The 15154-nt window shown below is 34.8% G+C and overlaps 1 annotated feature.

The window, feature by feature from the left end:
• Positions 333–833: an enhancer, noted in NCBI's record as "H3K27ac hESC enhancer chr6:93908284-93908784 (GRCh37/hg19 assembly coordinates)". NCBI's record gives its function as "activates a minimal SCP1, AML or CMV promoter by ChIP-STARR-seq in naive H9 embryonic stem cells {active_cell/tissue: H9 hESC(naive)}" and the evidence as "EXISTENCE:reporter gene assay evidence [ECO:0000049][PMID:30033119]".

Genomic DNA, 15154 nt, shown 5'->3' with positions numbered 1-15154 from the left:
CCCTCAAAAACCTATTTGTAAACAGGATTGGACCCAGTTAGAAAAAATGAACGTACTTTTTTAGGAAGATTGCATTGCAGAACAGGCAGAGGTGCTGCACAACTATTCCTATGGGAACATTATTAATTGGTCCCCTAAGGGGATGTTTAGCTTAAATTGCACCTCTCTGCGTGCCATGGCCACACTATGTTCAGATGATCTGAACAAAACAGTCAGATGGTAGAAATGATAAGAAGTACGGCAAAAGTTCCTATTAACTGGAACCATGGCGGTATAGTGGCCCCTCAACCTCGAATGATATGGCCTGTTCTAGGAGCTAAACAAGGATTTGTGGAAACAATCAAATGCTCAAAATGTGGGAAAGAATAAAAAAGCATCTAGAAGGACACACTACAAACTTGTTTTTGGATACAGCAAAATTAAAAGAACAAATATTTAAAGCATCCCAGGCACACCTGACCTTAATGCCAGGAACTGGAGTGCTTAAAGGAGCTGCAGACAAATTAGCAGCCAGTAACCCATTAAAATGGATAAAAACACTTGGAAGCCCTGTGATTTCAATGATGACTGTGCTTATAATCTATGTTGTTTGTCTTTGTATAGTCTGCAGATGCAGATCCGACTCCTGTGAGAAGTAGCTCACCGTGACAAAGCTGCCCTTGCTTTTACCTCTTTGCAAATCAAAGAAGGGAGACATGTTGGGAGCAAGCCCCCCAAAATCTGGCCGTAAACTGGCCCCAAGACTGGCCACAAATAAAATCTCTGCAGCACTGTGACATGTTCATAATGGCCATAACGCCCAAGCTGTAAGGTTGTGGTTTTACGGGAATGAGGGCAAGGAACACCTGGCCCGCACAGGGCGGAAAACCGCTTAAAGGCATTCTTAAGCCACAAACAATAGCATTAGCGATTTATGCCTTAAGGGCATGTTCCTGCTGCAGTTAACTAGCCCAACGTATATCTTTAATTCCGCCCAACCCTTCATTTCCCATAAGGGATACTTTTAGTTAATCTAATATCTATAGAAACAATGCTAATGACTGGCTTGCTGTTAATAAATACGTGGGTAAATATCTGTTTGGGGCTCTCAGCTCCAAAGGTTGTGAGACTCCTGATTTCCCACTTCACACCTCTATATTTCTCTGTGTGTGTCTTTAATTCCTCTAGCACTGCTGGGTTAGGGTCTCCCTGACCAAGCTGGTCTCGGCAATTAATATATTTGTTTAAAGAGCTATCTTTTAAAGATATTTAAAACAACAAATCTTATATATTTTCTCTCATAGTTACAATTTCAGGTGGTCTTTATTACTTTTGAAGAAAGATATTTCCATCTGGTGTTATTTTTCTTTTGCCTGACTTTACTTTTCTTGGACTGCAGTTCTATTTGTGATGAATTATTTCAGCTTTTGTATAAAAAAAATCTTTAGGCCGGGCGCGGTGGCTCACGCCTGTAATCCCAGCACTTTGGGAGGCCGAGGCGGGCAGATCACGAGGTCAGGAGATCGAGACCATCCCAGCTAAAACGGTGAAACCCCATCTCTACTAAAAATACAAAAAAAATTAGCCGGGCGTAGTGACGGGCGCCTGTAGTCCCAGCTACTTGGGAGGCTGAGGCAGGAGAATGGCGTGAACCCGGGAGGCGGAGCTTGCAGTGAGCCGAGATCCCGCCACTGCACTCCAGCCTGGGCGACAGAGCGAGACTCTGTCTCAAAAAAAAAATAAAAATAAAAAATCTTTATTTTTCCTTCATTTTTGAAATGTATTTTCACTGGATATTGAATGGTGGTGGACAGGCCTTTATCTTTCATTACTTTAAAGCTGGTACTCCTTTTACTTTTCACCTGCATTGTCTCAATCATCTTTGTTACTATGTCTATGATATGTCTTTTCTTCTCTGGTTGTTTTTAAGATTTTCTCTTTATCACTGGTTTTAAGCAATTTGATCATGGTTGACTTGGTGTAATTTTCTTTATCTTTCTTGTGCTTGGATTTTTGTGGGGGTTAATAGTTTCTATCAAATTTGGAAAATTGTTAGTCATTATCTCTTCAAATTTTCTTGTCCCCATCTTCCTCTTTTAGGTACACATGTGTTAGGCTGTTTGGTGCTGCCCACAGCTTACTGATGCTGCATTCATTTTTTAAAAAATTATGTTTTGTCTTTGTTTCATTTTGGATAGGTCTTATTGTGGTGTCCTCAGATCACTAATCATTTTTTCTGCGCTGTTTAATCTGCTGTTAATCTGATCTGATATATTTTTAATTTCAGGTATTAGAGTTTTCACATCTAAAATTTTCATGAGTCTTTTTTTATTGTCCATGTCGCAACTTAAGTTTTTGGACTACAAAATGTTAAGTAGAGACACAGACAATAGAAATATGGACTACAGTTGTAATAGCTGTTATAATGTCATTGTCTGCTGTTTCTAACATCTATTTCAATTCTAGGTTGTTTTCAACTGATTATTTTTTTTCTCATTATACATCCTGCAATCCTGTTTCTTTGCATTCCTCACATTTTCTGATTGAATGCCAAACATTGTGAACTTTCTTGGTAAGGTTGTGAATATTTTTGTATTCCTATGAGTATCTTTGAGTTTTGTTCTGGAACACAATTAAGTTATCTGAGAATAGTCTATTTTTTTCAGTTCTTGGTTTTAAGATTTTTGAGAGGGACCAGATCTGTATTTAGTCTAATTTTCCCCTATTACTGAAACAAAACGCTTCTGACCACTGCAGCCAATGCCTCATGAATTATAAGAATATCCAGTTTGATTGATAGGAGTAGGCACTGTTCCCAGCCTTGGATGAGCTCCTAGAACTGTTCTGTCTAATCCTTTTTGGGTATTTCTTTCCCTGGTGTTGGGTAGCTTTCTCATTTTTAGATGTGCTATACTAGGCTGCATAATCAAGAAGCACCAGCCTCCAGGGTTCTCTGTCTGTGCAGCACTCTCTTGTCCAGCACTCTCTTCCACAATCTCTAGCACCTTGGTATCCCAAGACTCTCAGCTTTGTCTGTCCAAATCAGAAAGTCTGAGAGGTCCCTTCATGTCCCCCTTGCTGAACCACAACCTGGAAACTCTCTGAAGCCGAAAGCTAAGGCAATTATAGGGCTAACCTTGTTTATTTCCCATCTCTCAGGGATCATCATTCTTTCTTGCCTAACATTCAGTGTCTTGAAGTCCATTTTTTCAAATTTCTTCTTATTTTTAAAACGGTTTTGTTTCGGTAGGTATAGAAGTTTGTCCTCTGTTATTCCATTTTGGCTTGAAAGGAAATTTTGGCTTTTTCTCTTTATGTTAGAAAACAACACTCACCTCTAACTAGTCTGGGCAAAGTGTCTTTTATCTGTCTTAGATTAAGAAAAACAAACATAACAAACAAACATATATAAACCTAAAAATTATCCAGTGTTTAAAAGAGAATTTAAAACCATTTTGAACATTTAACAGAGAGACATAAAAAGTACCAGAGAGGAATTCCATTCACAACTCACATATCTCTCCAAGTCTAGCTTCTTGTAGCTCAGCTGGGTTCCAGCCACCTAGCACTCATTCTGCCCTAGAACTATCCCCAGACACAGCTGAGAAGGAGGGTCTCTTTTTCTCCGCACCTTTTCTTTTCTTTCTTCTATCTATATGGTTTGATGTATCTGCCTTTCTAATGGAAATCAATAGAGATTTTCTAGTCTTCTTTCAAATTTTCTCTCCACCAACCTCATAGGTGTAGACTTAAAAGTTCTGCCTTCAGAAAGGGTAAAAATTAAAACATGGTTAAGTGCTGTGTGTATGTATATGTGTGTTCATGTGTTTGTGAGAGACAGAAAAGGTTGTGAACATGTATATTTTAATTTTTCTTTTATATTTGTCATAATCTTCTACCTAGAAAAGTAATAGAGTTAATCACCCTCATAATTAGACAAATAGCATTTCTGTCTGGTCCTGGTTTCCTGATTATTAAGGTATCTTCCGGCTTTAAAAATCTGAAGGTCGTTGTGGGTTGTATGACTTCCAATCCTTCTATATGGTTCTAAAGGCATTTATAGAGGACTGAAGACCTGAAATGACAGGAAATATCTCTGTGTGACATGACAAGAAGGGAGGGACCTTGAAGAGCCATTGCATATTTTCCCCTAGGATCACCCTATCTGGGAGAGCTACATTTGTGCTCAGGGCCACCACAGACCTCCAGTTTAAAGGTTAGACAAGAGTCTTCAGGGGAAGGTTTAAATTTACACCTTCTTGACAGTCTGAAATAAATGGCCCTGGCTTGATCCCTACTACTGAACTAAGCAGAGATAAAAGTCTGCTCAGAGTAACCAGTCATGTGTAGATATGGGGCTGAGAAAGCTTTGCTTAGAAGAATACCTGAGAAGGCAAACTCTTTTAGGAAGAGTTGTCTTCCTAAAAGCTTCCTCACATGATTTCATGTTGTAATAACATCTGTGTCATGTCTTTTCTATAAAAGAGAATCTTCAAACTAAAATAGTAAAACAGGTTAAGCATGAATTTAAATTCAGGCTAGGAGAGAAAAAAATGTTATGCATGAAGATAAGACAGCACTTAAATATTTTAAATTCATATCTTTAGGCAGAAACAAATTAAATCCCAGTTTAGTGTAACAATTCACATATTGATTCAGTAAATATTTATTGAGTGCCTACCAAGTGCCAGCACTGTTGTAAATGTTTGCTCATACAGCAGGGAGTAAAACAGATAAAGATCCTGCCCTCAAAGTACTTTTCTTTGTAATTGTGATTGTAAAAGTATTATCTTTACTCTTTGAAGTATCATAGGGAATGGGAAACTGCCAGATGACTGGAGATGCCAAATTCCTTCTTAATATTCAAAAGAAAATGGCAGCAGCAGAATTCAGAAACTGCATCCTGGGTGACAACCCTGGGTAAAATTAGAGATTAGATTTGAGTCCTTAAAAGAAGAAAAAGGAATTACTTAACAAATGCCCAATTAGACTAGTCATATTAACAGTCTTGCTTCATTTTAACATTGAGTTATGATACAAGAAAATCAGGAGAATTCTATGTGCAAAGTACACCTTGATTTCAGCAGGGCATTTCTCAGTATTTCCACATTACTTTGAGGCTAGATAAAAAGGCTGACTGAATAAGCACTCCCTAAGAATCTAGATTTAATGGATTATTACCAAGTTGGAAGGAAATTTAAAATTTTTTAGCTGATATAAATGTATCTTCTCCTAATCTATCTTGACATAAAAATAAACTTAATAGTGAAACACAGGCACAGGTATGTAGTAGGATAAAAATATACCTCACACCGTTTATATGAGGATTAAGAGTTCTGTGCTTGTCACATCATAGGAACTTTATAAATATCACTCTGATCCTCCACTCCCTGGCTCAAAACATAATATTTACTTTTCAGCCTGTTCCTGAATATGTGCTTAGCTATCACTATTACTAAAACAGAATATAAGAATACAGGTTGAGTATCCTTTATTCAAAATGCTTTGGACCAAACGTGTTTCAAATTTCACATTTTTTTTCCAATTTTTAAAATATTTGCATACATATAATGAAATATCATAGGAATGGAACGCACATTTAAATGTAAAATACATTATGTTTCATATAAAACTTATACAATTAGCCTGAAGGTAATTTTATGCAACATTTTTAATAATTGTATGCATTTGTCATATGAGATCAGGTATGAAATTTTCCACTAGTGGAGTCATGTCAGCACTCAGAAAGTTCATAATTTTTTAGTGTTTTGGATTTTGGATTTCAGAATTAGAGATACTCAACCTGTACTATAATTTGAACTTTGATAATATCTGGTGTTCTATTAGTTTTAAAATGATGTAGGGGCACTCTTTACATATTATATTACATGAAATTATTTAAATTTTAAATGTAGTATGTATACTAATTTTAAAACACAGATAACTTATTGACTTTTAATAATAATATTTTTGACATAATGAGAGTTCAAAATATATAAATAATTCACTTTAAAATACCTACATTTTCTCATAAGGTGAAAACAGAAAATATACTTAGTCATGTTTTCAAAAAAATCTACATGTTTGGTTTATCTTTTCTGTGAATGTTAACACCTAAATAATATGCTCCCAAAGATATGTATAAAAAAATGCTCTTTGCATCATTGAAGCCAGAAAAAAATTGTGACTTTAGGAGAGTGGTTATGTAAATTTTAGTACATCTATACAATGAATTATAGAAAACAATAAACAGTAAGAATGTGAACCTATAAATATTGATATGGAGTGATCTCAAGAAAACTATGGAAAAGTCTCACCACAACACAATTTATTTCCAAATAATGTAAAAAAGCAAAAAGCCAAGACATATGTACATCTGTGTGTGTGTGTGTGTGTGTGTTTGCGCATATATGCAGGCAATAAAGTAAAGGAAGAGGGGCTAGAAGGTGGTACTTAATTATTTTGTAGTGATTACCTCTGATGATGTAAGAAGGAATCAGTATGGTAGAAGTGAATGGGACATTTATATTTTCTTCTCATTTCTTCTATATTGATCACATCTTTGAAAAATTTTTATTATACTTTAAGTTCAGGGATACATGTGCAGAAGGTGCAGGTTTGCTACACAGGTATACACGTGCCATGGTGGTTTGCTGCACCCATCAACCCATCATCATCTATATTAGATGTTTCTCCTAATGCTATCCCTCCCCTAGCCCATCACCCCCTGACAGGACTTGGTGTGTGATGTTCCCCTCCCTGTGGATCACATCTTTTATAGAGGCCTGGCACGGTGGCTCACACCTGTAATCCCAGCAATTTGGGAGACCGAGGCAAGCCGATTGCTTGAGGTCAGGAGTTCAAGACTAGCCTGGCCAACATGGTGAAATCCCGTCTCTACAAAAAACACAAAAAATTAGCTGTGTGTGGTGGTGGACACCTGTAATCCCAGGAACCCACAAAGCTGAGGCACGAGAATTGCTTGAGTCCGGGAGGCACAGGTTGCAGTGAGCCAAGACTGCACCATTGCACTCCAGCCTGGGCAACAGAGTGAGACTCCATCTTAAAAACAACAACAACAACAAAAACTTTTATAGAAAAATGCATGCATGTATTTCTAGTATAAAATAATTTTTTAAAAGCACTGATATTACTTATAGGGATTTAATGTAAAAGAATAACCAATCTTCAGAATTTTTCATCAAGAGAAGAATCCTTTAAGCCAGACTACCAGGAGAATAATCAAGGACTCAAATCCAAATTATGAATTCATTGTTTGAAAAGAATAATGAAATAATACTCTCATGATTAAAATTTTCTTCAAAAGTCTAATTTGCCTATACAAAGAAGCAATTTTGCCATTTGCAATTAGTCTTCTTTAAACAATATGAGCAAATATAATTATCGTAATTTCTTTTCTACTATTGTTTCACAAGAAAAGATCTAAACCAACAATATAAAAGTGGAAGATTCATTAATTTTATTTTATATTATCATTTCAATTAATTTGCCTAGATTGATCCTCAAAATAGAGTAAGAGCTCATCTTCTACTTTTAATATTTACAAAGGGAATTCAGGCCCTAATCTTGATTGTAATCATGGTATTCTCCTTTGTCACCTCCTATTCCTCTTCGTTTTTCTTTCTTTCTTCCCCTTCTCTTCCTTCCTCTCCACTTCCTCCTGCTAATACTTCTTCAAATGGCAATTCTTTTATTCATTGAATATGAACATTCTACCAAATTGGAATATGTAGAATGGATTTACCTGTTACTCATATTAACTGAATCAGCATCAGTGAAAACATTTTTAAATATTCTCAAGAAAATCTTTAGAGAAACCGCCCTCAAGTTCAGTGTCCCCAGCAATACCTCCACCATATATTCCTGCCTTTACCTTTTTTCATTTTTGTCTCATGAAATATCAGCATTTCTGAATGTAAAATAAAAGTTCTGATGTGAATCAATTATTTCACTTGAATTTAGATATGTTCCAGAGAAACTAACTCGTCCTTTCTCAGGGCAATGCCTTTGTTGTTGCTGTGTCAAAAATGTCATCTCCTCCTGCTAGAGAGACCTGTATCATTCGGAACAGGTCGTAACGTTTCTGTCTATCTTAGCAAGTTATATCATCTTTTAAAGAGGCTGTCAGTTGGGTCATAGGTCACTTGAAGCACTTATTTTGTAAATTGTGGATGTTTTATTCTTTCAGAGGTGCCAGAGCACTTTGTTCTTGTTCCTTTATAAATTTTGCTAAGAAAAAAAGAGCTGTCATAAATCACCTTCTTTGACTTTCACTGGGTCAAGATTGTATGTTTCAACTTTAAGAAACAGTTAACTACCACATAGATTTATTTATTCTTCCTATTATAAAGAAATAGTCAAATAGAAAAAAAAGATATGTGACCATCTGTGTGATAAGCACATTCCTGTTACAGTAATTGTGTAGACAATTACTCCCCATATCAATCTACCTGGAGAGGGCCTCTTTGTCCTACTCTTTGGGTATAGGTACAAGACTTCTCCATTTTTTTATACCCCATTAATTCCAGGCTCCATCAAAGTTCTTCTCATGCTCTCAGAGAGGAGAGAGAGAGAGAGAGATCTTCCAGACTTGAACTTGACAAGTATTCAGCTTTAGTTGAGTTCCATTGTGACCATGTGCATATTTTAAACATTTAAAAAATATTAGTTCAGAGAAAACAACTTATGACTTGGCTCTGCATAGATCTCAGCCCTTTGATAAAAATGCAGAAGCAGAGAAGTGCTAAGCATGACTGAGGCTAAATTTTCAACCATCTCATTTGAAATCAGCATTTAAGTGGAATTAGAGAAAATAAAGTGATTAGAGAAAATAAAGTTATTTCATCTCCTCCTGCTAGAGAGACCTGTATCTTTTGGAACAGGTCATTTGAAATAGAGAAAATAAAGTGATGCTTTATTTATTAGCAAATATTTGCTGAGTGTCTACTCTGTTATAGGCAAGGTTTAAAGTGGCAGAAAGAAAGGTGAAAGCAAGAACAGGCAAAAATTGTTGGCCTCATGGAGTGTAAATTCTGGTGCACACCTGTGACTGTGGACTGAGAAGCTACCATGTCAAACCTGCTTGGGGTTTTCTAACGATCCTCCCAGGCTGCATGTCCTTAATGATGTCCAGTTATCACCCTAACACTATGCAGAGATGACTGTAAATTTTCTGAAGCAACTATGTACTTGGAAATACTATAATGAATATAAACATAAACATGAAAGCGAAAAAAAAACTTTAAAACACTTGGGCATATAAAGTGTGGTAAGTATATGACAAAATAAAGACCTGTGAGAATTTTTCTACAACATTAAATTTTCTGTTTTTCTTGAAGAGCAACCAGAAAAGAAGTGGTATAGAAGCCAATGACCCAAAGTTCAGACTCAGAATTTCTTTATAAATGTTGAAACTCTGAAATATTACATGCTAATGCTGTCAGAGTTCTGTGAAATATGACTATCCCTGTTTCCTGGACACACCATCTAAGAAAGCTCAGGCTTTCTCCTGAGCTAAGTTTTTGGCATAGGCTGATACTATGATGAAAATGGTGATGTTTTGGAAATATACATACAATTTGGCACAGACTATATATTCTGAAAGTGTAACTTCTGCCATAAAGAAAAGATATTTAAAAGTTAGCAAGCAGTGTTTTGTTTTCTGTTGGGAAAGTGGGGGGCTGGAGGAGGGATAGCATTAGGAGAAATACCTAATGCAGATGACGGCTTGATGGGTGCAGCAAACCACCATGGCATGTGTATACCCATGTAACAAACCTGCACGTTCTGCACATGTACCCCAGAACTTAAAGTAGAATAAAAAAAGTTAGCAAGCATTTTTAGGATGCTGTAGCAAAGGTAAACACCTAAATTTGTCCTACTTAATGGAATATGACCTGAGCAGCACAGTCTTAGGGAATGGGTTTATAAAATAAATTGTAATTTAGCAATTGTGAATGAATGGTTTATCAGTTTAAAAAAGATTTATGAGCATATCAGAAAGAAAAGAATTTTCCAGAAAAAAGCCCTAAACACTTATTGGAAGACTGATTAAGAAAAAAGAAAAAAGTAAGAAGGTGCCTCTATTGTTACTGAGGCTAGACATTTTGGTCCAGAATCCATTGGCCAGTATCAGATAATTTGGTTCTGATTGATTTCTAACAGGTTTGATAGGGTCTAAGTAAAGTCCTATTCTGTGCTCAAGTTTTCCCTGGCTGCAAGCAAGGATCCTAGCCTCCACTTTTAACCACTGACACCATTAAAGGAAAGAGAGGAGAAGGAATTGCTCATGTCTAGTGGCCAGTGGATCCACGCTAGAGTTATTTGACAAGTAGCAACTCAGGACGTGCCAGACAAGGCTAATATTATTCATTGCAGGTAAAGTGTCTGCTGGACACTTAAAAGGCTTTGGAGAAAACATATGAAAGCTGGTTTCTTTTTTGCAGGGTTCCTGAGAACTAGCTGCCAAAGCAAAGGAATTCCAATATCCTAAAATAATTCCTAAAATATTATCCTAAAATAATTAGGAATTCCAGTATCCTAAAAGTGAATCTGTTCCTTAGTGTGCCATTTATGTGTTGGCCAAAGGCCAAGATAGGATAACACTGTTGCAGAACATTAGCCTATAATCAAGAATCATCAGCCTCACAAAGAAGGTCAATATCACGAAAAAGACATTAAAAATTCTATGGAATGCCCCATGAAGCAGATTTAATACGCTAAGCACCTCATAAAACAGACTTAATAGACCAAATATTAAATAAAAAGGAGAAATAACCTTAGGTAAAATAGATATATAAAATCATAAAGAATATTATGTACAATTACACATCAATAAACTTGAAAATGTGGGTAAATTTGAGGCAAATAATGAAACGCCCAAGTTGGTTCAAAAGAAAGTAAGAAATTTGAAAAGATTGATAACCAATAAAGAAATTTGAGTGTAATAAAAAGGCATTCTCTTCAAATAGTTCTAGGCCTAGAGGGTATAACAGGTAAATACTATCAAAATGTCAAGGAACCGATTCTATTTCTCTTTCCAAACATACTTCTGCAAATTAAATCAATGTATTAAATTAGGCAAAGTGTCCAATTCATTTAACTATGTAAGTATTACCTTAATCCTTAAACTAGGAAAACAAAATTATATGCAAATTTTAAATAAATATAGGTAAAAAATGTTTAATTAACATTAGCTGATCAAAAAGTTCAGGGTACTAACAAAAGAATTCATCGTAATTGAGTAAATTTTACCTTGAAAGTGTAAGGACAGTTAAATAAAAGAATATCACTCAGTATTTTCCATCACATTAATGGGGGAAAAAATCACATACTTTTTCACATACACACAGAAAAGTCATTTGAAAAGCTTCAACACTTATTTAGGATAAAAGCTCACACAAACCAAGAATAGATAGGAAATTCCTTAACTTGATAGAAGTTGTCTCCCAAAAACCTAAAGCAAATGTACGAGGAACTTTAGGAATATCATCTTTAAAGTTTGGAAGAGGGCATGAATTATTGGTGTTGCCTGTATTGTACAATATATTATAAAAGTCCTGGCAACAGTAATATAATAAGCTGTATGGATAGAAAAGACAACATTGTCATTATTTCCAGATCATTTGGTAATTTATCTAAAAAAACACAAAGGACAAACACAAAATCTTTTAAAACCAATAATAGACTTCAGTAAGATTGTTGGATTGAAAAAAGTAGCCCCAAATCAGCAGTACCTCCCCATACCAGCAACAACCAAAGATAATATAACAGACAAAGTGCAATGAATGTTTGAGAACTAATTTAACATTCTATTAAAGGACACGATATAAGAGCTGGATAAATGGAGAATCATATTATGCTCATAAATTGGCCAACAACACCATGAAGAAGTGAATTTTCTTTAGAAATAGGGAAGGATTTTTAAAACAAGCCATGAGAGCATAAGCAATAAAAAAAATTTGAATTTATTTTACAGTAACAAACAAAGCAGTTCATTTAAAATAAAAATTTTAAATTAACAACTAGAAAATGTTAGTAATATAAATAATACAAAGAATCAACATCAATAAAATGTAGAATTTCCAATAAATTTTTTAAAAGTAAGCCAAAAATATGGGGAAATTAAATGAACAAGCAATCACAGAAGACAATATTAGAATGACAATAAACATGAAAATTTTTAAAAATTAAAACTAATTTTTAATAATTTATCTAAGATTATTTAACAATATTAATTTAAAATTAATATTAAATTAGACATCTTAATTTTAAAAAGCCAATGGAATATCATTTTTCACCTATCAGATTAGCAAAAATAATAAAATCTGATGCTATTTTGTGTTGGCAAGACTATTAGGCACTGATTCTCAATCATTTCTGCACATGGGAATCACCTGCAGATCTTTAACTTATCCCAATGTCTGGCTCCCCAGCATTCTGATTTACTTGGTATGGACTTTCAAAACTGTGCTTATGATTTAGGCTTGATCAAAGAAATATCATGTGTGATATGCTATATAATTTCAAATTTTCAAAGGAATGTTAGATAGAATATTAAATTGTGAATCCTATAGGAACACCACTACTAATAAGTGGAAGTTGCAGAAAAAAATTGGAAAAATTTTTAGCAATAGTGTCCAAAGAAAGAAAGACTTTCTTTGCTTGATTGAAAGCTGCACATCACTGGAAGTGTTCAAGAACATGTTGCATAGTAACTTGGTAGGGTTTGCAGAGCCAAATTCAGGTTATTAGACCGACAGTTAGAAGAGATGACCTTAAAATTATACTTATAAATGTGATACTTGACACACTGATTACAGTCCAAGCTGAATCTCCCTTTCACCTCTTTCCTGCTTCCTTTTGTTTTCAAAAATTCCTGACTCAGCCTCTGTCTTGGGGGACAAAAAAAAGAGGCATAACCCAGAAGGTGGCTGTGTATTCTCAACTCTTGTTTCTATATGATTGTCGTGGTCAATAATTAAGGAGTGACATGGAAAATAGAAATATCACACTGATCAGAGTATGCTTAACAAAATACTTCTGATCTTGGAAAAGATTGGGGATTTTTCTCTATCTTTGTGGATGACACTGCTGTCAGTCCATTTGGGTTGGTATAACAGAAAACTGTAGGGTGGCTTATAAAAAGCAGAAATTTATTTCCCACAGTTCTAAAGCCTGAATAGTCCAAGATCAAATTGCCAGATTGGGTGTCTGGAGAGGACTCTCTGCTGCATGGATGACGCCTTCCATGTGTCCTCACAGAGCTGAAGGGTCAAATAAGCTCCCTTGGGCCACTTTTATGTAGGTATTAATCCCATTCATGAGAGTGGAGCCCTCATGACCTATTCGTCTCCCCAAGGCCCATCTCCTAATACAATTGCATTGGGGATTAGGTTTCAACATATAAATTTTGGGGAAACACAAGCATTCAGTCAATGGCAACTGGGCTCCTGCTTCAGAGATCAGGCCTCTTCCTGAAGGCGATTATTTGGTTCTTTAGAACCTTTGGAACACTGGAGCACAGTCTTGTACAGTACCCAAGGTTTGACAATGAGTACATAAAAAAGGCATACATTTATGACACTTAAGTTTTTTACTAAGAACAAAGATAACTAAACCCTCTGATACTATACACTGGAACTCTTACTTGGAGTCTGGCAAAAATGGAGTTTTCAAAGCAAATAATCATATAACATCATTCCAACAACTTCTCTGATTTATATCTACAACATACATACACACATACATATATGTGTGTATATAACTATTATATATAATAAATAATAACTTTTGCATTAAGAACATGGACAATTCCCTATAAAATTTAGTTTAAAAAAGTAGGCTAAATTCTATCCACATGTATGCATGTATATTAACATATCCTGCACATATAAATTTCATATACATAATTTACTCTAGAAGGTTATAAAAATAATTATTGACAGGAAAAATAGGATATCTGTGACCATCAAAGGAAAACTCCTCAAGCGCTTGAAATAGGTTACTAAGCAGTAGAATAGATAGTATAGTTGATTTGTTACTTTTGACTATCGTCTTGACTATCTCATCTATGTGCTCAGTCTTAACATCTAGTTTTCCTAAGTTCTTATTGTCTTATTTTTAAAGAAATTAGTCACGTGTTCTTGGCTAGGTGGATATGAGAAGGAGAAGGGGGACTAATTTAAGAATTATCATTCATTGTGAATTATGATGTGCTAGGCATTGTGCAAAATACCCACCTGAATTTTCTTACTGAAGCCACAGAACACTTCCATCAGATGTTCCAATTACCTTTCTTTTACAGAAGAGGAAATAGAAACTTTACAGCGATTAAATAATTTGCCCAAGATTACATACTGTGAGAGAACTGTGATTTGAACTCAGAGCATCTGACTTTGCCATGGGTGTGTGGGTATATAGAAGCTTGTTAAACATTGGCAGGAGAGAAATTTTTTATAAGTTCATATTACATATAAAGAGAGTTAGGACCAGGTACCTGTCAAAACAAATCAGTTTTATGTGAAAATACTTTATAAAGAAGTTTTTTATTTAATATCATAAAATAATCAGCAGTGACAAAAATGTGAAATCAAATATTGAAAGACATCATCAATTTAAAATAATTTAATTTAGAATTTGTAGCTAATTATATTTAGCCTAGATAAATTTGACCTGTGCACATTTTTAAGAAAGGAGCATTGTGTGTAAAATAACCGTAGGTGATATCTTTAAAACTTGAAGAAGAATCTCTCCTGTGTGTTGTGACATTACTCCTTATTTACTATCATATGGTACTGCTAAATCCAAACAAATTTTGATACATTTATACCTGACCTCCTTATAGAAATATATAATAACCAGTTCAAATGATGTTGAGATTTTAAAGTAATGAAATGTAATTCATTAAAAATATTTAATAGTAGATATTCCCTAATATTAAGTAATATTTCCATCCAGTAATTCCAGATTAAGGAGGATTTATTATATCTATTTCAATCAGTGCCTATAATTTTTACTACTTTTGAAGAAATACTGGCATTAGTTAAGATGTTTCAATCGTAGGGTAAAATAAATGTTTATTTTCCTTTTACTATCATTCATTTTTATTAGCAGAAAATAATGTTACAGTATTTCTTTATTTTCAGTTTTATAT

The sequence above is a fragment of the Homo sapiens genome, chromosome 6 (genome assembly GCF_000001405.40).
Source record: "Homo sapiens chromosome 6, GRCh38.p14 Primary Assembly".
NCBI classification, from domain to species: Eukaryota; Metazoa; Chordata; class Mammalia; order Primates; family Hominidae; genus Homo; species Homo sapiens.
The sequence above is the reverse complement of the archived record's forward strand: the minus strand, read 5'-3'. Positions and strand labels throughout refer to the sequence as shown.